Source organism: Homo sapiens, chromosome 8, assembly GCF_000001405.40.
Source record: "Homo sapiens chromosome 8, GRCh38.p14 Primary Assembly".
Classification (NCBI taxonomy): Eukaryota; Metazoa; Chordata; class Mammalia; order Primates; family Hominidae; genus Homo; species Homo sapiens.
Genome location: NC_000008.11, coordinates 141,670,749 through 141,692,755, shown reverse-complemented (window position 1 = coordinate 141,692,755; position 22,007 = coordinate 141,670,749). Strand labels below are relative to the sequence as shown.

Genomic DNA, 22,007 nt, shown 5'->3' with positions numbered 1-22,007 from the left:
CAGGGACTGACTTCTCACTGTGATTCCTGAAGCTGAGACTGAGACCACCTGCCTGCTGGCCTGCCCGGCCCACAGGCACCGAAGGGAAGGAAACAGCAGGGCCCTGAGGATGCTGCCCAAGCCTCCTGTGCAGGCCCTGAAGCAGCTGCTGGGCCCCAGGCTCACCTCTCATTCTTACCTCGTGAGGCAGGTGAGACCAGATAGAGTCCCAAGTCCCAGCACCTGGGTAAGGACACAGTTCCCCAAAATGTGTGCTGACCACACTTACCACCATCACAGTTACAGGACTTGCTGCTTTGTGGATGGGGCGAGCAGTGGGGTAAAAGCTCTCCTGCCCTGGGTTCAGATCCTGCTTTGAGAGCTTACCATGGGCATCTCAACTTTGCATGACCAGGCATTCCCATCTGTAAGCTGGGGATGAGGCCAAATCCCTGGCAGGTCGGCTGTGAAGACTGCGTGGATTAATCATTAATTGTGTCCTGGTTTGCATGAGAAATGACAAAGTCACCTGTCTGGGGCATTTTGGGGTGCCCAGAATGGGTCACCTTCTTGGTTACTTTGCAGGAGAAGCTTCTGTGCAAAGGGCCCCTTAGAGGAGCACAGGAAAGGGGCATCGGTCACAAAGTCCATCAGCCATCACTGTTTGCCCACGTGGTGAGTATCAAGAAGGGTGCTTGGGCCAGGCACAGTGGCTCACGCCTGTAATCCCACCACTTTGGAAGGTCAAGGCAGGCAGATCACCTGAGATCAGGAGCTCGAGACCAGCCTGGCCAACATGGTGAAACCCTGTCTCTACTAAAAATACAAAAGAAAAAATTAGCTGGATGTGGTGGCAGGTGCCTGTAATCCCAGCTACTCGGGAGGCTGAGGCAGGAGAATCACTTGAACCCAGGAGGCGGAGGTTGCAATGAGCCGAGATTTCACCACTGCACTCCAGCCTAGGCAACAAGAGCGAAACTCCGTTTCAACAACAACAAAAAAAGTGGGGGTGCCTTTTCATCTTCATCTGAGAGCACTGCCTAATGTTCTCACTCTCAAAACTCGCATGCAAGCCAGCTCACTCCCTACAAAGCAGGTCTGCTCACCGAAGGGGGTTTGATCAGAGGTGACATCATCCCTCAAAGAAGGCAGGGTCGCAGCAGAGAGAAGTGAAGGTGAAGACAAGATTCGGGGAAAAGGGGGACTCATGGCCCAGAGTGGGGGACAGAATCCCCTCATGACTTATCCTGTGGCGTCCCCAAGAGGTAAGGGTCAGTGGTGGTTGGAAGTGGCAGCATGGCCACCCACGGCCAACTGGGTATGGCCTGGCTGGGTGTGGTCCTGGTGTGGATGGGGTGTCAGGGCCCTATCCTACCTGAGACACTCCGCTGAGCCAGGTCCCCAGGCCGCTGCCAAGAGCTCAGCTTCCCACGGGCCATGGGCCATGTAGGTGAGGAGTGGCCTGAGGCGTGGGTGTTCCCATGAACTGGGAAGTGCACCATGATCTCTAAGTGACTCTCAGACTCCTCAGGAAACCAGTGCACACGGGAGCAGCTCCAGGACCCTCAGGGTGGCCCCAAGATACCTATAGATTGACCTTGGTGGTCCTTGGATGTGCCAGACAGCCCAGAAAGGCTCCTAGGAGGACCCCCACAAATCAGAGGCTGACCCCACGCATCGACACCTGAGCATCCCCTCAGAGAACAGGAAGCATGGGGGACTCTAACTTCTCACTGAAACCAGGACACAAGTAATCACTACGCTGGAACCAGAGGCACACGGGGGACTTCCAGCAACCCTCTGGAGGGAGAAAGCTAGAGTCTGTAGCCCAGTATCCTGCTGTATCACTAATGTAAAACCTAACTCTACTGCCAGGTGAGCACCAGGGGAAATGCCTTTTACAGGAATATTTGTCACGTAGATGGTTCAACACACACGCACCTGCGAATGCGCCCGCCGTGCTCAGCTCCTTGCTTTCCCTGGCGGCCAACACTTCCCTGCCTGAGTGGATTTATTAGAAGTGCTCACACCTACCCACCAGCCCCACCCACTGAGGAGGGGTCCCTGGGCCAGGAGCGCACAAAGGAGGTGATGCCATCAGCAAGCCTGACTGTTCCTTCCTTGTCATTTATTTTTCACAACTTAAAAATCATGGAGTAATCCAGGGTCATGCAGTAATAATCAACCACAAACTTCTCTCCTGCAGTTGGCCAGGCTTTTGCAAAATATACTCCTGTCTTACAAAAGGTAATGCCAACTGCGCGAGGGAAAACTTGGAAAATAACAAACAGTAAATAAAATAAAGCAAGCTCTGCCTATAACCCCACCATGCAAACAAAACCATTGCTAATATCTGGGGGCATGTCCTTTCATTATTTCTAAAGCGCTATTTTCCTAGCTTTTCCTGAGATGATGGTGATTTCTTGCTGACAGAGTTGGAATCATATTACACTATATTACCTGTTAGGATCACACTTTTTGTTCCCTGCAAGCATTCTCGGTATGTGCTCTTAGCAAACATTATTTTTTAATGGCTGTAATATTCATTCAAGTGGATAACCCACAGTTTACTTAAACATCCCCCATGTTCAAACACTTAGGTTGTTTCTAATTATTTTGCTAAAAATACCTATTTTTTCGTATTTAAGATTACTTCCTCAGGATAGCATCCTAGAAATTAAACTGCCAGTCTAAGGGGGCATTTTTAAGCGTGTGATGCAGGCTGCCAACTGTCTGCTCCTGGGGCAGTCCCTGCCTGCACCCGACACAGCACATGTCAGACATTACCATGTTTTAATGTCTGTTCCCCTTATTAACAAGAATCCGTACTTGGTTTTAATGTGCATTTTCTTTATTACTAGTAAGGGAAGATAACTTTTCCATGTTTATTTCCTAACTGTATTTATGATTCCTGGGAATTGGGCAGCCACATACTTTGACTAATAACCTATCTGAGGTTCTACGTGTTACTTATCAATTTTTAGAAAGTCCTTTTACACGCTGAAGATGTTAACCCCTCGAATGCGGTGTTGGCTGGAAATATATTTTCCATGGGGTAGTGGCTTTTCATTTGTGGCCTTTTCTGTGTTTGTTAAGAGGCAGGAGTTTCCGATTTTTCTATAAGTCAAGCTGTCCGTCTTTCTCTTTGTGATTCCGTCTAACATTTCTCATTTGACAATATCCTCCCCTTTTACGTGTCCATTTTCAGTTCTATTTGGTTCTAGATTTGCGGATCCTGAGCATGTGTTTTCACACCGTCATCTCAAATCCAGGGTTTATCCAGAGGACAGATGATAGACCAATTGTACGCTTTCAGCTTACCGTGGAGGAGGTCACTTGTGATGCGGGCAAAAAGGGGGAAGTGGGGTGGGGAAGTGGCGAGATAAGGTCTCTGGAAAGTGGAATGTCTCCCCCAGCCTGTGACTGATTTTCCCTGCGTGACCTTTCTCCTCCAGTCATCACTTTTGTCTTTGCTTTAAGTCAGAGGTTCTCAATCAAGGACAATTTTGTCCTCCAGGGACATTTGCCAATGTCTGATTGTCACAGCTGGGAGGTGCTGCTGGCATCTAGTGGGCAGAGGTCAGGGAAGCTGTTCAGCATCCCGCAATGCACAGGATACAGGATGGCCCCTGTCCCCAGAGCAAAGAATCACCCAGCTCAAAATAGCAATAGTGTCAAGGGGAAGAAATCCTGCTTTACACTGAATGCTAGCTTCCCTAGATGGATTAGCTAAAATTACACTAAAAAATGATCAAACATGGGTGGGTCTGAGAGGGCTAGTTGTCCTACAATGCCCATTCTCTCCTCCTTTCTTGCGCAGAAAGTTTAGCTGGGCACACATAGAAGAAAGTGGTTACATATCACAATTCTCCTTTCACCCAGGCACAGCCACATGACTGAAGTTCTGGCCAGTGACATGTAAACAGAAGCAAGTGTCCAGGGGCAGTTTTAAAAGTCAGCTGCCACTCACAGCTTGCCTCTCCCTTGCTGCCCCCTAGAATGCAGATGTGATCGTTGGAGCCGAAGCACCCTTTTGCACCTTGAAGTGGCTTTGAGAATGGAGGCCATGCTTGGGGGACCAACAGGGCAAAAGGAGCCTGGTCTCTGAGCTCTCTGTGGAGTAGACCATTTCAGTCCTGGCTGGCCTGCCTCCAGGCTCTATGGAAAAGGGAGAGCGAAGCTTCTTTCTTTTTTAGGCCATTGCTATTTTCAGTCTCTGTGACTTACCACCAAATCTAACTGTCGCAAATGGTGAAATGGGGAATGTTTGTGAAGACTTCTGATAAAATTCCAGCGTGAATTTGAGAGGATTAAATAGAATAAAATGTGCAAATTGCTTAGCTGATCACTTGGTACACAGCAGAACACTTGGTACCCTTGATACATTTAATAGTAAACTGGCTGAGTTATTGTGAGCCCCACCATGTGATGGGCATTACACCAACAAGCTTATACCCCATGTTTTAATCCCCCCAGCAACCTATGAAGGTGGTGCATTGTGGTCCCTGATAGGGATGGGGTAACAGAAATACAGAGACTACTCTCAACTTGCCACCATCGCACTGTCAGGGCAAAGCCAGGCCTAGTCCCTGCACTGTGCCACCTCCACCTCAGCAGACATTGGGGACTGCATGGTTTGGAGGCATTTGGGATCCAGCAACTATGAACAAAACTCTTTGCCTGAAGATCTTGCTTCATCCCAAAACTGTGAGCTTTTTGTTGCAGCCCAAAAGGGCTGCTTCAGCTCCAACCATCACATCTGCATTCCAGAATGCATCTCCAACCCTGTGAGATACCCACTGTGGCATTTGTCTTGCCACAAGAAACCTGAGTCACAAGGAGGCTAAGTGACTTATCCACTATCACACCACGAGTGGCAGAGCTGAAGCTCAAATCCAGGTGGATTTGATATCAGAGTCCATGTACTTAGTGACGTGGCCAAACTGCCTTTCAATAAATACAGCTGAATGAAGGCAGAGAGCACACAAACGAATGCCAGCTGTGGCTATGATGCCACTGAGTATCAGGATTAAGTACCCACCATGCACTGACTCACTCAAACTCACAGCAATTCTTGATCCAAAGATAAGGACATGGAGGATCAAAGAGGTCCGGAGACCAGCCTGAGGTCACTCAGCCAGGAAGTGTGGGGCCTGGATGAAGAGCAGATCTGGGGTAGGGGATGCTGTTCCCCTGCCCCTCCTGCCTCCTCATGGGCCATGTGGCCACAGTTCCCAAACTGGCGTGGATGATTCCTTGGCCAGGAATCCTCTTCTAGTTGGCAAGATGCTCTGGTGTGAGGCAGGCAGGGACCCAGGCACAGCCCTGGTGTCTTATGTTACCCGCCTCCATCCCTGACATCAACAGGGACTCACGCTTTGCAAAAGGGGCATACAGCTGGTACCCCTTGGAGCTGAAACAGGCTCTGTGTGTGGTGGGCCTGCAGTCGCTGCTGCAGAAAGTGAGAAATTGAACACATTTCTTGCTAATGCAGACAGAGCCGCCCATTTAATGTTGGAGAAGCCCTGAGAATTGGGGAGGGCAGGGAAGACCTCCTGAAGGAGAGGAGGTTTGACTCTACTACCTGCAGAGGGGACTGGGGCTGCCCACAGGAGGCCAGAGGCTCTGAGCCCTGATTCTGGGATTCCAGCTTCCTGAGAGGCAAGCTGACTTCCCCGGCCCTGAGGAGTGGGGGTGAGGGGTTGGGATAGGTGAGCCCCATCCCTCCGGAACCGCTGCCAGCTCACTCAGGTCGTTAGCACCTAAAGAGGGTGTAAAAGTGACTTATGAGCAGAAATCAGGTGTTCAGGCATAAACACACCAAGGCCAGTGATTGATTTGACTGGGTAAATAGCTTTTATAATTGGTATTTTTTATTAAATTTTAAGTGATGCATATTTATGTGAGAGCATCGTGGGCACATAGGGACCGGCCTCGCCCGGCCTTCCTGCTGGCAGAGACTCAGGATCATAAAACAGATTCCTGTTGGCCGGATTCCCAGGACCCCAGAGGACCCCCGGAAGGAGAAGGGACAGGGGATGTAATTGCAGCATCAGCTGCATTTTCAGATATTGGAGTGACGTTCACTTCCCTCGAGCTGGATGTCCGTGAGGTTTGGAGACAGGCGAGGGCAGGCAGTCGGGGAAGCGAGGGGTTTGGTTTTTGCTTCCTCCCTGCCCCACCCCGACACAGTCAGTCCCACAGCACAGAGAAGGCAAGCTCCGTCTCCCCTCCAGACGTGGAGGGCCGGCCCAGGACAGGCACAGACAAGGCTACTCGGGCAGAGGCTGGGCATTGAGCCCCAGAATAGCAGGGCACCCTCTTTAGCTCATGAGGCGCTTGGGGCCTGGCACAGCCAACAGGTGCTTGCTAGGAACCACCAACCGGAGCTCACAGTGCAGGCCGGGGGCGGGGGAAAATGCACTGGGGGTGCTGAGACCCCAGGAGGTGTGGGCAGAGCAGGGTGTGGCTCAGATGCAGGGTCTTCAGGACCGGCTATTCTCTGGGCGAGATCCTGAGGCCCCTTCCCGGGCCTCCGTTTCCTCCTCTGTAAAGTGGGTTAATGACTCTCACTTTTGCTCACTCCCCAGGAGGTGAGGCTCTGAGGTGAGCGTGATCAAGCCCCCAGCCTGAGGGACTGTCTCATGGCTGCCTCCTTGAAAGCTGCTGCTGTCACCGGAGGGCAAGCCCAGCGCAGGCTTAAAGCACAGCTACCTGAAAGATGCCACCTGCAGGAACTTCTTCTCGCATGTAGGGAGGGTTGTGTTCTGACCTGAGTCCCAGATGTGCAGAGGGGCTGCCCTAGCGAGTCCCACCTCATGCCCTGGCCTCTCCCTTCCACACTGGAACAGTTCATAGCCAATCAGGAAGCAGGATCAAGGCTCAGCTGATTGAGGACCAGGGTCAGGGCTCAGTGTGTGACCAGGATCAGGGCTCAGTGTGTGACCAGGGTCAGGGCTCAGCCTGTGACCAGGGTCAAGACTCAGTGTATGACTAAGGTCGAGGCTCGACATGTGACCAGGATCAGGACTTAGTGACTCAGTGATGAGAATCAGGGCTCAGTCTGAGACCAGGGTCAGAGCTTAGTGTGTGACCAGGGTCAGGGCCCAGCTTGTAACTTCGTCTAACTTCATCAGGGCTTGTTGAGTCTCCAGGGTCAGGGCTTACTTCCTTACACCTGTCCCTTTGCTTCTCTTGGAGCCTTTGAAGGGCAGAGGTCGCTGGGCGGCTGCCTCCTGTTTTCCACTGTGTAAATGGGGTCTTAGAACCGAGACACCATCAGGGTGCTGGCTACCTCCCCTCCAGTGTAGCTGAGCTGAGGCCAGGCACCTGTGGGCCGCCGCTGGGGCAGGGATGTGTGGGCATTATGGTTTCTGCAGCCTCTTCTGATCCGGCTTCCTCCTAAGCCTCAGTAAACTCGCCTAAGCTCAGCCTGAGCCTCCGTCACTCAGGCGCTTTCGCAGCCCAGGAACGAGCCTCCAGGCACTGTGAAGCTCCCGCCACCCCTGTCACTGGCACCAGGCTGGTGTGGAACAGGCGGGAAAGACTTGTCCGCTGTGAGCAGCAACCAGCCTAGATGGGATGAAGGCATTTGCATCTGACTGCCAGACAAGCCTCCTCACACTGCAGATAAATATAGGCCTCACCCTCCTTCCCTGGTCCCATGCAGGCCAGCAGGGCTGGCAGGGAGGCTTGCCTGCGGTCAGCAACGTATCATCAGTTGCCCAGGGCTTGGGCGGGAGCCCCCAGCCATGGCCCAGAGCTGGTGGGCAGCTGTCCCTTGTGAGCAGGCACCAGCACTTAGTGATCAGCTGCTGAGACCTGCAGCTCTGGCACGCCTGGTCTTATGAATCCCTGGAGCTTCCTGGAGGGCGGCTCCGTCATCCCCACGTGCAACATGAGGAAGCGGCTCGGCAAAGCCAGGCCACTTGACCACCGCCACGCAGATCGGAAGTGGTGGCACTGGGCCCCCGAAGCCAAAGTTCGCCTTCTCTCTGCGGCTGCTTTTGGGGCGTCTGGGCAGAGGGCAGACACTGGGCAGAGTGGACGGAGCACCTCTCCATCAGACCTGAAGTTCCCAAAGGAGTTCAGCACCTGGCCAGGTGCTCAGGGCCCGGGCAATGCGCAGATCAGGCTGTGGCCAGTGTGGTCCAGAGTGGCTCCAACTTCCTTGTACCCACTGTGCTGGGTGCAGCCACCCCACTTCTCGTACTGGGAGGCCACGTGCTCTGCAGCTGGGGCAGATCTCTCTCTGACCCCCTGCTTCGGACAGGGATTCAGCTGGCCTCTAAGACCCCCTTCCAGGATATCTTTGGGCAAATAGGAATGGCAAGAGGGATGCATTTTCTGCATAAATGACGCTGGTTCAGTTAGTGGTCTGCCCCCAGGTCTTTTTCCCTCCACATGAAGGAAGCACAAGGTCAGCTGTTTGAGCACTGTGGTGGCTGCATTTCCAACAGGTGGGGTCTGGCCCACAACAGGCCCAGCCCTCGAGGCCCACACCGCCAGGTGAGAGACAGAGCTGGGCCCCAGGACAGCCTGGGGAAGGAGACCTGGGGAAGGAGACCCAAGGAGGGGACCCAGGGAGCAAAGGCCTCCTGCCAGGCTGCAGAGGGCTTCCCCAAGGAGGGTGGGCTTCCCCAAGGAGGGTGGGCTTCCCACTGGGTGTGAAGGGTGGGTTGTGCAGGCTGAAGGGGAGCCCAGCTCCTATGGGGAAGGGTCTCCAAGTCAGGCTGCCTGGTCTGAGGCAGTGGGTGTCTCTGAAGGCCAGGCAGCCGCCACCCTGGAGCTTCCAGGAGAGAAGCTCAGGGGTCCGTAGTGGCGGGAAACCAGTTGGGGCTCCTGAGAAGGGAGTCTCGATGGCCTGTGTGCTCAAGGGGGAGGCAGGGCCTTGTCTGCCGGTGGCAACCCGGTGACCATGCAGGGTAAACACGGTGCGGGGCTGGGAAGCTGCTCCTCTGGGAAGGAGAAGGGCAGCGCTCGGCTGTGTGGTTTGCCAATTTCTGCAGTGTCCAGGCTCCCACGTTGGCTGATTCCAGGAAGTCAGTGTTGGCCACAGCTTGCAGTGTTCCTGAATATGAAGGATCGCCAGCTCTAGGAGCCACCAGTGCAGCCCACACCTGTTCAAGAAGACGGGGGCGCTCTGAGTTGGGCCTCTCAGGCAAAGGGGTGGTCATCTGCCGTCCACCCCCAGGTTGGCTTCCCAGAGCACATAGTCTCAGGGTTCCCATTGCGGGAAGATAGCCCTGTGGCCAATGGGAAAGGGGAAACCCCATAAGGCAGGGGCAGCCAGGGCCCTTCCGAGGTTCGAGGCACAACCTCTGGGCTCCAGGGAGGAACGCAGGACGTTGTCACAGCAGGGCTGGGTGTGGTGCATCTGCTCCAGGGGGAAGCTGCAGGGACAGCTAGGACTTTGCCGGGGACCTGGGAGCGGCTGGGTGCACCTCTCCGCACTTCAGTTACTCACCCCCCAGCCCCCAGTCCCCAGCCCCTGTGCTGTGGCCGAGAGCCAGAGTCGATGGGTAACTTTGGTGCCATCAGGAGCCAATAGCTGAGGCTTTCCAGCTAATGCCTGCGTGGAATCAATGAACAGAAAGAGCTTTCTTGTGCGGAGATAAAATCACAGCTGAGGATTAAAGTCACAAATGAGCAAACCCTTTTATGAAACCCCTCAGTCTCCCCAGGCCATGGAGAGGGCAGGGCCATCTTCTACAGTGAGATTGACCCGCAGTTGAGGGTAATCGGCGAGAAGAGGGAGGGAAGGAGGGAGAGTGGCTTCCTGCGCACCCCTGCTCCCACCCGCAGAATCACAGCCCCCTCCTCCTTGTCCGCACAAGCCAGCAGGCTCCTCTTCCCTGGTCCCACACGTGCAGGCCGCTGGAGTGACTGAACTGCTCCCAGCTCCCGTGCCCCCCGCCACATCCAGCCCACCCTTCACAAGCTGCATCTCCTGCCTTCCCTGCCTCCCCACCCTAAGCCCCAGCTCAGCACCAGCCTCAGAACGGCCTCTCTGCTGCTCACCTTGGTAGAGCTGCCCTTGCTCTGAGTGCCCTGTCTCCCTCTGGGCCTCCTGAACCGGTGCAGCCCAAGTCCCGGTGCTAACCCTCATCCTCCAGAAATGTCCCAGAGTGCGCCCTGGCCACCCCCACACCTGCACGTCTGAGCCTGTCACTCCCCATCTCTCTCTCACCAAATCCATCACCCGCTCATCCGACAGACACTCCTGGGCTGCAGCACCAGGCCGAGCTTGAGGAGATATAATAAGACCCAGTCCCTGCCCTCAGGGAGCTCCACGTCTGGTCAAGAAGACAGAAGGGTGGGCAGGGAATTCAAGAATGGTAGGGGCCGGGGCAGGGGCAGAGGCATGCCGGGGCAGCAGGCGCTGATGGAAGCTGGAAGAGGCAGAGGGATCCTCCCCTGGCATCTGGAGGGAGCACAGCCCTGCCCACACTTTGATTTCAGACTTCCAGCCTCCACCGCTGCCAGACAATAGACGTCTGCTGTGAAAGCCACGCTGTGTGTGGTGCTTGGCGGAGCCCGAGGAAACTAACACACACCCGGCCTGTGAGGGAGGAGGCGGCCCCGGCACGGGGGAGAGCTCGGATCGCTTTGGTGTCTGCCGTCTAGTGCAGTCCAGCTGAGTGCAGCTGAGAATGCAGCCCAGGCTCAACTCTCAGAGGCCCCTGGGCGGGGCTGGGGCTAGGCCACCCCCACTATCCTGTGTCTCCCCTTTCTCCAGAGCTGCAAACAAAGGCCCAGCTGCACTGCGGAGCTGCAGGGAGCCACGGCCACTGCCCCCACTTGAAGGGAAGCAGAGAGATGGGATTGAGTGCGGGGGAAGTTTCTCCCCGCCGCCCTCTCTCAGGGGCTGAGGCCCATCGCATTCTGGCCCAGAGAGTTCTGAGCTGGCAGAGCTTAGAGGCAATTTGTGCCACATGTGCCCAGGCTCACCCGGAGAGGTCATCTGGGAGCACCCAGAGTCTCAGTCAAGAGCCCAAACCTGTAAGTGCCCCCAGTGGCCCCTGCCCCAGACTCCCTTCCTCCCACCTGATACTCGATAGCATGTAGACAGCCCTGCCTTGACTGACAGCCCATGGCAGGTGGGGCTGGAGTAGGCAGGCCACCAGCAGCGCTCTGTCATGGGGGCTGGGCCCACACTGGGGCTGGTAGCTGCTGCTGGGGCCACCCGCCCTGGGTGCTGCCATCAGTCTCCCCTCTGCAGAGTCTGCTCCTGGCTCCTGTGCTGTGGCCGCACGCAGCCTCCCCGTCTCTGCTTCCCCTCTGCTCAGAGTCCTGGCCCCTCCTCCCCCATCACCCCCTCCTCCCAGCACGGCCCTCTCCATCGCCCCATTCCTCTCTGGGGTCTCGGAGGCCTGGGGTGGGAGCCCGCAGGGGACGGAGGGCAGGGAAACAAGCAGGTATGGGTTCCGCTGGACCTAGGGGTGCTGGGGGACAGGAGCGAGGCCCAAGAATGAGACCGAGGAGGCAACACCTGATGGGGCAGGGGCCCAGGGACTGGCTTTCCGAGGTCCTGGCTGGGAGTCGCCCAGAATACATTGCCCACGCTGTTCTTTCGCACCGTTCCAGGAGCTGACCTGACCGAGGCCACAGCAGAGCAGACAACGCCGATTCAAATGTGTGCAGAGGTGTGGCGGGAGGCCAGGGATGGGAGGAAGCCTCCTGCAGAGGAGCCCTTTCAGGAGGGTCCCGTGCCCCTGCCTGCGAGTCCTGCTGGAGAGCAGTTGCTGATTACAGGAGAAAGGAAGCAGCGGCCTGGGCCAAGGGGACATGTGGTGCTTTCTGCCCCACTGCAGTGGCTTCTTACGGAACAGCAGCCCCCAGGCCAGCAAAGGCTGAGGGAGGGGACTCACTGCTCTTTCTCCAGGAATCAGACACAGTGCCTGGAGTGGGGAGGGGCCCTGCAAGTCTCCTGATCACAGTGCAGCCCCCTGGCCCCTCCCTGGCTGACTGACTGCACAGGAAGGGAGTCCTCTGTGCTGGCCACAGCACCTCCAGTCAGGCCCATGGGCCTCAGTCTCCCCAATTGTGGTTTGGGGTGACAACCTTGAAAGGGTCTCTCAAAGATGCGGTGTAGAAGAACAATGCCGGGCCCCACTCTGGGAAAACCCAGCACAGCAAACAGCGGGTAACATGGAGCCCAAATCGGAGCACTGCCGAGGACGGAGCCCCCAGAGCAGGAGAAAGGGATCCCCGTGGGGCAGACAGAAACAGTCATAGCAGAGACAGCAGCTGCATCCCGGGGGTAGGGCGTCCGGCCCTGAGGTGCTTGCCTGCCTTCACTGGTCCCATGGAAATTCCTCAAAGAAGACCGGAGCAAGCCTGCATCCCAGGAGAGGAGCTGGATGCCACCAAGCCTAGCCAGCTGCAGGAGACCTGCAGATGCCAGCCTGAGCCTGCCTGCCCCACAGCTCCCGGAAGTTGTCATGCCCCACGCTGCAGAGAACCGGGCAGCCAGGGGTCGCAGGGACTAACCGCCAGGCAACGCTTGGCTCCCGGTCTGTTTGCTCAACAGAGAGTCTGGCAGGAACATGCTCCCTGGTTCCAGCCCCTTTCAAACCAGATCCATTTGACTTCTCATCTTTATTTTGGCAGGGGAGAAAAATGTAATTTTTTTCTAATTTAAAATGTTAAAACCATCATCCTCATCCACATGCATTCAGCTCAGATGGTGTTTGGGAAATTAGCTCTGTCACTCACACACACACCAGCACGAGGCCTGACAGTGGGAACAGTCTCCCCCACTGTGGACACTCTGCACCCCCCACTTGCCTTATGGGGCTGTGCTGAGCCCCCGTGAGCTGAAGGAAGCATCTGGGGACTCCAGAGAGCAGGATTGTACCCAGTACCTCACCCTTCCCTGCCCAACTTGCTGTGTGACATCCACCTTGTGAACTCACCTCTCTAGCCTGGATCATCCTCCCTATAACAACCAGATGGCCTCATAGGGGACATGTAATGATGTCATCAGGTTTCGCAAGAAGAGTGGAGTAGGTCATGGAAGGCCCAAGCACCAGCTGAAGAGTTAGACCAACCACGGCATGATGCCTGGGTGTACCACAAACGTGTTCTGTGACTTGGGGAAGGCAAGGAACCTCCCCAACCTGCAGTTTCCTCATCTGCAGAAGCGCTTTTCTGCCCAGAGTTCTAGTGAGGCTCATGAACGGTGCGTGTGTGTGGCCTGGCCCAGGGTCAGACCTCCCACAGGGGTTCATTCCAGACTGGTGTTGGGATTTATGAGTTATGCACATGGAGGAACTGCACACACTGTGTACTGTGAGCAGGAAGAATATCAGCTGAGATTACTAGAGAAGTTCCATGTGGGGTGCCAACGACTGGCCTCATCAAATCCTGCATTTTCCAGACTGAAACCAAGGGAGGTTGAACACTGTGCCTAACATCCCTGCATGTGTTTTGGGAGGGGTGGCTCCAGATCCAAGGTCTGCATCCACACCTCCCACCCTACAAGGGTTCCTACGCCTGGCTCTTCCCCTGAGAGCATCGGGAGGGGCTGGCACGCTCCCAGGCCTCGCCATTACCTTTGCAGTGCTACCATCTCCTCCTGCTTTGCAGGAAGGACAGACGCAGCCAAAGAAGGGAAGAGACTTTCCCAAGACCACAGACACTGGCATTCTTCAGGGTTCTGGCTGCAAGGCGCAGAAACAAGACAAACGCTCACTTATTGGCTACAGAATCCCAGGAAGGCTACATGATCAGCCCCCAGGAAGCTCAGCATTCCTCTTTGTAAAATGTGCATATTAGGAGCCTACAGGGGGCAGGTGGCATTCCCAGAGCTGGCAAAATGGAGGTGACAAGGGGACAGATGGACAACAAGAAAAAGCACAAAGGAAACATCAGGAAGAAGCCAGTGTCCATACAATGGAACATGACAGGGGAGGGCTTGGAACTGGAAGGGCAGGGGAGACCTCAAAACATCAGAAACTTTAGGCTTCAGTAAGTCCTGGGGCCTCATGAGTACTGCCACTGAGCACACTCTCTCTCCCCTCTGCTTTCCTCCAAATCTCAGCCTCAATCTCTCACCATCTGGTGAAGAACAGGACTGAAAGTTCACATTGAAGCTCAAATAAGGGTCCAGAGTCTGACCTTTATTAACAGGAAATCCCAGAGAAGCACTTTGATTGGCCCAGTTTGGGTTGAGCGGCTATCTCTGCACCAATCAACTATAGACAGTGGGTAGGCTCCAGTGAGAATTGGCTGGAGCTCCCATGGCATCCACTCAGTTGCAAGGACCGAGGTCCTGGAGACAGAATGGGCAGCTCTCGACAGTGTCAGAGCCAGATGGAGCACAGGTCACACTCCCTTCCTTCTCATCCTCACAGCTGCCCCCGGGGATGGCTAGCATTCTCATCCCCCTTTGCACAGCACCAAGACTGCAGGTAAATTATCATATCCCATTTGGTTTCAGAGCCCCTCTTTCCCTGCTCCATGCCTGATGCCCCTGTCAGAACCCATCTGTGTGTTCCTGACCAGGCATCTGCCCTGAGCTCTAAGCTCTCCTCCGCCCCTCATCCCACCCTCTTCTCAAACCTCCAAGGGCCATTCGGACCCATCACTGAGACAGCTGTGGTTTGCTCTGGAAAGAGCTTTGTAAATGCCGCCATTTTCCTGCAGAAGAGGCTGGACCTCTCTTTTTATTTGTGAGAGCCCCAGCTTCCTGACCCATAAGATGGAAATTACAGGGTCTGCCCCTATTGTCTTCCCATGGAATAAAGCATATGGCAGGTAGGCTTGATGTGCCCAGTGCAGTGGCTGCTGCACAGGGGCTGCTGATGGCCCATTGGGTGCCCATAATGGCCATAGAAAGGTGGCACAGCTCAATAGCCTGGGTGCTGTACACAGAGGCAAGGTGCTTAAGTCCCAGCTTCTAATGAGCCCGCTGGCCTGCAGTGAAAGGGTGGGTGGGAAGAGCTGCAGGCGTGGGAATGGAGAAAACTGCTGAATTAGGAGCAAAAGCTGATCACAGGTTCTGGGCCTCCTCACTGAAGGGCCAACAGACAGCCCCAGGAGGAGCAGGAGAAAGCCCAGAGTGTGTTCCTGGCCAACCACTTTTTGGAACTGCTTGTGTTTAAATAGCCTGCTGGTCTGGACTTCCCTAGAGGAAAAGCCATCTCCCTCATGGTCTGTAGACAAGTTCAATGGGGATGGAGCATGTGTCATGCAGGCTATGGACCTCAGCCCCTCCCAGGCCACCTTGAAAGCTAGCATGGGTGGCAGCCACACACAGCCAATCTATGGCACAGGAGATAAAATCAGTGGACAAGACAGAATGCCCCCAACATCCAGGGGCTGAGGTAGGGGATGTGGTAGAATTTAAAGTTTAACATTATCACTGGGATACTGTCACTGCCATAATCAAACAGCAGCCTTGGTAGGAGGGCTTCCTGATGAGTTCCAGGAAGATACCTGTTTCTCTCCACCTGGGGATCTAGCCAAGCCTCTTGTGTAGCATGAGCACTTACTCTCAAAAGAGCCCAGCCTCAGTCCCAGATGGGTGGGCAGCCACTGAACAAGGTGACGGCAGAAGCCAGTTGCCCCATGGGCCGTGTTCCCCAGTGTCTTGTCACACTGTGAAATCCCATCATTAATTCTCCATTCCTTGAGTCAAGCATTGCCTTATAGAATGCACTATTAAACACAAAAATGCCCTGGGGATAAGGAGCTGTTACATTATTTCATTGCCCAGAAAAGACCTAGGGATGTGTCAAAACAGAAGACCCTTCCTGTTTACCACTAAGGTGAGCCACAGTGTGGAGCTTGTTGAAGACAAACTCTCCCACGAGCTTGCTGTGGTGTCTGCCCCTCGACCATCTGGCTCAGGCGCTGGGAATCCCTGGTAAAACTGAAACATGCTACTTAGGAGGAAGACACTAACAGCTGTTGAATCCCTTTTCTTTGTCAAGCACCTGATGGATGTTACTCCATTACCTCCTCTTAGGCACCCTCTGTGCCAGGTAAGGAGCTGGAGGTCAACGTCACAGCAGCACTTAGACTTGGATTTGAATTCGGTTCTGCCTCTCTCTCTGGAAGGACTCGGCAGCACTGGCAGATCAATGGGTGCTTCCAGCTGAAACGGAGCCAAGGGGATACCGAGGAGGCCAAAAGGCAGCCCAGGGCCAGAGCGCTGTCCATAGGTGTGGTTCTGAAGCCAGGTCCTCCATGCTGGGGGGTGAGTGTGCCTGAGGCAGAGAGAACTGAATAAATGCTGAGTGGATGTAAAAGGAAGGCGGAGGTCACAAACAACCCCCTTAATGCTGCCCTGGATTCATGCCTCCCACAGGAGAAGCAGATGTCCCCAAACTTCCTCTAACTCCTCAGTCCCCTTCTTCCCATTGCCCTCATTTCATTTCCATGTATCCTCATTGACCTCCAAGCCTTTGTTTCCACTTCTTGGATTATCCTGTTAGCATATATTTCTAATTGTCAAAGTCCTACTGCTTTTGGGAGACCAGAACTCAGCTAGGAAGGTAAAAACGTGGAATGGCCATCGCAGTGGGCAGGGGATTTCTCCAGAGCAGCTGAAGTCAGCAAATCCGGAAGGACTCAAGGGTTATCTCTATGGGGGCTGAAGCCATGGTAGCCAGTCTGACATTAAGGATCAGTTAGGAAGCGGGTGGGGTGTGGCACTAATTGAAGCAGGGAACACTGCTCAGAACAAAGTCTGAAGCTGAAGTGGTTGTGGCTCTGGTCACTTTTTCTCCCATGAGCAGGAGTGAAATGCTCCAGGCTCAAGCAAGGATGTGATTCCAGGAGACAGTCAACTCTAGATGCCCAAGAAAGGTCATGACTCAGTTATTCTTACACAACACTCTCTATCCACTCTCTGTCTGTGTAGACATGGTGCTACCAGTTCCTGCAAGCCTCTCCTGCCCCCCCGACTGGAGCTGGGGGTGCCCAACCTGTGCTATGGGAGCAAGTACACATTGCCCATGTGACCTGCCACCTTCCACCCTGAGCCATAGGAACCTAGGGATAGGACCATGGCTCACTCCCTCACCACCACATCTGCACTGCCTGGAACATTGATTATGCATAGTAATCACTTAACATTATTGAACAAATTCATTGACCAAATTAGAATATCGTTTTCTCATGCACATGTCAAGCAAAAGCTTCACTGTGAAACAGTCCAGGTTCAAGACCTGAAGGCTTTCTCTCTAAGGCCTAGTTTGCTTGTAAAACCTGTGTGCCTCCTTCTCCACTCCTGCACAACAGAGATCATGACCATAACATGAACCTCCTTCTCTCGGAGTTGTCCTGCAAAGAACAGGAACTGACAGACATGCAACAGCATTGCCCATAGCAAGTGTGTGTGTATAACTTTTTTTCCAGATCCTTCTCCAGGAGGAAGCCTCTTCGTCACACATCCTGGAGGATTGTGCCCCGCAGGGCTCAGGTGCTTAAAGGTGCCCAGGACAGAATTGAGATCATTCACACAGTGAGGGCGCCCAGGAAGGAGCTGGAGGGCCCAAGGTGAGCTGAATGGGGTTTGGGTCAAATTGGAAAAATTGACTGAAGTTGGATTAACTGCCAGGATCTGGTTAAAGTCAAAAAACTGGACTGAGGGCAATTGAAATGAATTGAAGGAATTGAATTTAGCTGGACTGAAGAAAGAAAATCGAATTGAACGAAAGGAATCCAATAGAATGAAATTAAAATAAATTGAATTGAGGAGTCAAAGTAAAAATTGGAAGGAGCTAGCTGTGGGCCTGGGATTGAGTTGAATGGAGGGAATTGGAAGAATTTGCGACGAATGAGATGAATTGAGTTGAACTGAAATTTTTGGAACACGCGACTGCAACCTCAGTTAATTTTAACTGGAGTCAGGGGCACCCACACCAAAGTTTTCTCCCAGCTGCCATGCATTGTCCTCTGGCTCTGGTTGTTCAAAAAACGTCTAAGGGGCGCCAGCTGCATGCAGATACCAGACGAGGACCTGAATCAGGCCTGGCCCCACACCATGAGTGTTCAGGCACCGTTGTCTGTCAGTGTGCTGAGTTCCTGAGGTCAGACCAAAGGAGGGAACCCAGCACAACAAGCAGGAAGAACCAGAGAGCCCGAGCCTCGAAAGAGGAGGCATCTACCCACCCACCTCTGCCCTCATTTGGCAAAATGCTTTGAGTGCATGGTGCAAATCTAGCTTAAGGGCCAGGCAAGGAACCACACGCCTGCAGCCATAGAGATGAGAGCTGGGAAATCCGTGGGGCCTTGGGCTCTGTATCCCCTCTGACTCTCGGTGTTCTCATCTGCGAAGTGGGGACAACAGGAGCTTCCTCAGAGGAGTGTTTCAAGAAGATGAAGGAAGTCAGAGTTTCTTTTCTTCATTAATAACAACCATAGCAACTGCCCCCTTTCCCCCACTGGCTGTGCATTTGTTAATTTCTGCATCTTTCCTTCAAGCTTCCCAAAGGCACTGGGATTTTTAGGAGAAACTTTTGGACTCCTTTGACTACAAAGTCAAAGGCCACAAATGCCTCCTCCAGGGAGGCCTCCTGTGCTCCCAGAGAGGACTCATGTCACCCCCCGCCCACCCACCTGTGGTCGACCCTCTGCTCTAATCACCTGCCACACCCACTGACTTTCCCAGCTCCCTGCAGCCCCTGGCAGACAGGCCAGAGGCGTTTCCATCTCTGAGCCACAGAGTATGCCGGGCTCCACACCCGGAGGGGACAGGGCCCATCTGTATCAACACAGGGCTTTCTTTCTGAGCCCTTTTATCCCCGAGTTTGTTTTCATTTGAAGCTTTTCAAGGACTTTTTTAGACAATTCGTCTAAGGACACCTCCACCTTAATAGCACAATTATAATGAAAATGCTCTAAATGTAGCACGTGCTATCCCAGGATGATGAGTTTAGCTGCTTCCCAGTGTTTTTGCATCTTTTCTCTGTTATTTTTCCCCCAACTTTTCAAGTTCAAGGATTTTGAGTCAATTAGTCTAAGAATACCTCTGCCTTGTTTTCTTATTTCTAATAAGCATTTGTCACACGTGGAGAGCTGCTCACTCACCGCCTCCCGCCATTCCTCCCAAGTTATCTCAGCCCCTGGAGCGGCCAATTTTTTTTTTCTAGCTCTTTCCACACCGCCCTTCCCAAGTGACAGAGTTCCTTCGGCCCGTCAGCACACACTGGGGTTCTTCCCGGTGAGGCAGGTTTGCACTCTTGGGCAGAATGCGCACGGAGGTGCCATGGGGCTGCAGAGGGACCCTCCGCTCCGGGCACCATTCATCCTCCTGGACAGCTCGGGGCCGGGGCCTCGCATGCAAACCCAGCTCTCCCCCTTATCCTGCTGTTGTGCCTAGCTGGAGTCCTTAACCACTTTGAGCCTCGGTTTTCATATCTTTAAAATGTGGATAATAAGTACCTCCCATGGGCATTGTGTGGATTAAATGAGATGATGTGCAGAAAATGTTTTGTTCATAGCAATCGCTTAAATGGTGGCTATTACTAAGAATTATTATAAAAATAACAATAGATCACAAGATATTAATGGACTCATATCATATTTTTAGACAAAACATACTCCTTAAAGAAAATTTGAAAAATCCAGAAAAATACCAAGAAAAAAATAGATCAATCACTCCCAGTCCTACCACCCGCCGAAATCATTCTCATCTTCACGGTGCTCTGCAATCAGCTTTTCCTCCACGTACAAAGCTTTCAGCATTTGAATAAACCCTTCCCTCTTAAAAACAATCTGAACTTTATATCATATGCATTTCCATGTCTTTACAGAAATTCTTATAAGGTCTTTATTTAATAAGGAAATTAAGCCTTTGTCATATTTGCTACAAATATATTTCCCAGGCCATATTATTTTTGCCACTTTATTTGATGGTTTAATTTTGACTTGCAGAAGATTTTCATTTTTATGCAGTCAAATCTGTCCATATTTTCTCTCCTGATTCCTTGTATTAGTTCTAAACTTAGGAAATCTTCCCTCTCCCCAGGCATGATGAATATTAAATTCTACTTAATTCTCACTTTTTCTGTGCCCTGATTTTTTTAAATATACTTAATGCTAATCCTGATGGAATTCAGTTTGATGACAGGGTTGAGATGGAGCTGAGCCAGTTTGCCTGCCCCCAGTCCCGGACTCCCATGCAGAGGAGGGGGTGTCCTTCCCGCTCCCACTGCCTACTGAATCCCTTCCTGGGGTCGTGCTGGGCCTCTGCCAATGCTGCACCCCCCTGCCCACTCCTCCCCGAGGATGGCTGGAGTGAGCTCACGTGCTGGAAATTCATTTGCAGAGGAACAAGTGGACTAAAATCCTTGAAATGCTCAAAAGTGGGCCCCAGAGAAAATGACCTCAAAAATGGGCCAGATTACTGCTAATGTGACACATTTGGCGAGTAACTCTGGCGTCAGGCCTCTCCATCTCCGGCGCCTGCCTGTGTGCCTTCCTGCTTGCTCTTGCCCTGCCGGCTCCAGCACACCACGTCCTTCTCTGCTGCCATCAGCCATGGCAGGTCCCCACACCCGTGTGCCTGACCAGCTTCCCCAGAAGCGCTTACTCAGGCCAAATGTTGTTCTAAGGACTTTAGAAAAGCCTCCCAATGAATGTGATGTATTGACTACCTCATGAGAGGTGCACTTTTGCCCACATTGCAGATGGCTAAACCGAGGCACCAAGGGATAAACCACCTTCCACAGTCACCCAGGGTGTGAGTGGTGAGGCTGCACAGGAGACCCAGCTGGTCGGACTCTGACCCCCAAGTTCTGCCTGTCATTCTGTGATGTGCACCTGCCAACCAGCCTCAAGGGACAGCCTGTCTTTGTTGGCCTGTCCCTCCCAGGAGAGGGAGGCAGGAGATGAAGGACTGGGGTTCATGAGGCCCAGGGGTGCTGTGATCACAGTCCATCATCCTCATGGGGGACAGGGAGTGGGGTGCACAGAATTTGGGACGCCTGACCTGTGCCCCCATAAGCCTCAGTTTACCCTGCTTTAAAATGCGAGTCTAGGACTGGGTGCTGATCTTCTCGTCCTTCCGGACAGCCCAGCCATGCCTCCCAGGCCCCACAGTTCCCGTTCAGAGTGTAGCGAGCTCTGTGTCTGAGCCCTGACCAGCACCCTCTTCACCTCTGTCCCTCCCAGCAGAGCCCACGGGGGAATAAAGCCCAAAGGAACAACAACTGCCCTTGATGGGGCGAGAAAGAGCCCACAGGCAGGAGGACTGGAAAGGTGCTCTGGTAAACCCACAGGGGCTCCCCACCCCAAGTACAAGGCAGCTGGACCCCAGGCTCAGGGTCTCCCCACCCTGAGTGCAAGGTGGCTGGAGCCCCAGACTCAGGGTCTTGCCACGCCAAATGTAAGAGAGCTGGATGACCAGATTCATGGGGCTCCCCACCCTGAGTGCAAGGCAGCTGGACCTCTAGACTCATAGCCCTGGCAGGGAGAGCAGGAGGGTGAGAGGATGGGGAACTGCTGCTGCCATCTGGTAGCATGGGGTCACCCCCACGCAGCACCCCCCACACACACACAGGACACAGAATCAAAGCCTCAGACTCTGGCCAACCAGGTCAATAACTCCTCCGCGGGCAAGTGGGAGGCTGGAGCAGGAGGCAGGAGGTGAGTGGCGCACATCACACCCATCTCTGCTCTAACCCCCAGGGCAGGCCCACAGCGGGGCAGCATCACCTCTGTTGTACAAGCAAGAAAATGGAGGCAGAGGAGGTGGCACCCAGGGGCACCCAGTGGGTAAAGGGAGCCGGGCTGGGAACTGGGCCCCATCCTGGTCAAGTCCGTCCCCTGTTCCACCTTAGTCTTCCTGAGGCCTCAGGTCACGGCCTGGACACAGGGTCCGGGACCAGGGTGGGCAGTGACAAGAGCAGCAGGGGGCCCTGAGCCCCAGCTCCTGGATTCGGGAATGAGGCCCTGGCATAAGAGACGGGGCTCTGGAAAGGCCCATGAGTCACCGAGCACTGATGGATGGATGGGCCTGGAGCTGAGCCACTCAGCAGCATTTGGATTCCAGTGTGTTTATGGGGTTCCGAGGC

The 22,007-nt window shown here is 53.8% G+C and overlaps 2 annotated features.

Moving 5' to 3' along the window:
• Positions 10,395-10,570: a silencer, noted in NCBI's record as "fragment chr8:142692286-142692461 (GRCh37/hg19 assembly coordinates)". NCBI's record gives its function as "represses an EF-1alpha promoter that drives an FKBP-Casp9 reporter gene in an ReSE screen in HepG2 liver carcinoma cells {active_cell/tissue: HepG2}" and the evidence as "EXISTENCE:reporter gene assay evidence [ECO:0000049][PMID:32094911]".
• Positions 12,020-12,863: an enhancer, noted in NCBI's record as "H3K4me1 hESC enhancer chr8:142689993-142690836 (GRCh37/hg19 assembly coordinates)". NCBI's record gives its function as "activates a minimal SCP1, AML or CMV promoter by ChIP-STARR-seq in primed H9 embryonic stem cells {active_cell/tissue: H9 hESC(primed)}" and the evidence as "EXISTENCE:reporter gene assay evidence [ECO:0000049][PMID:30033119]".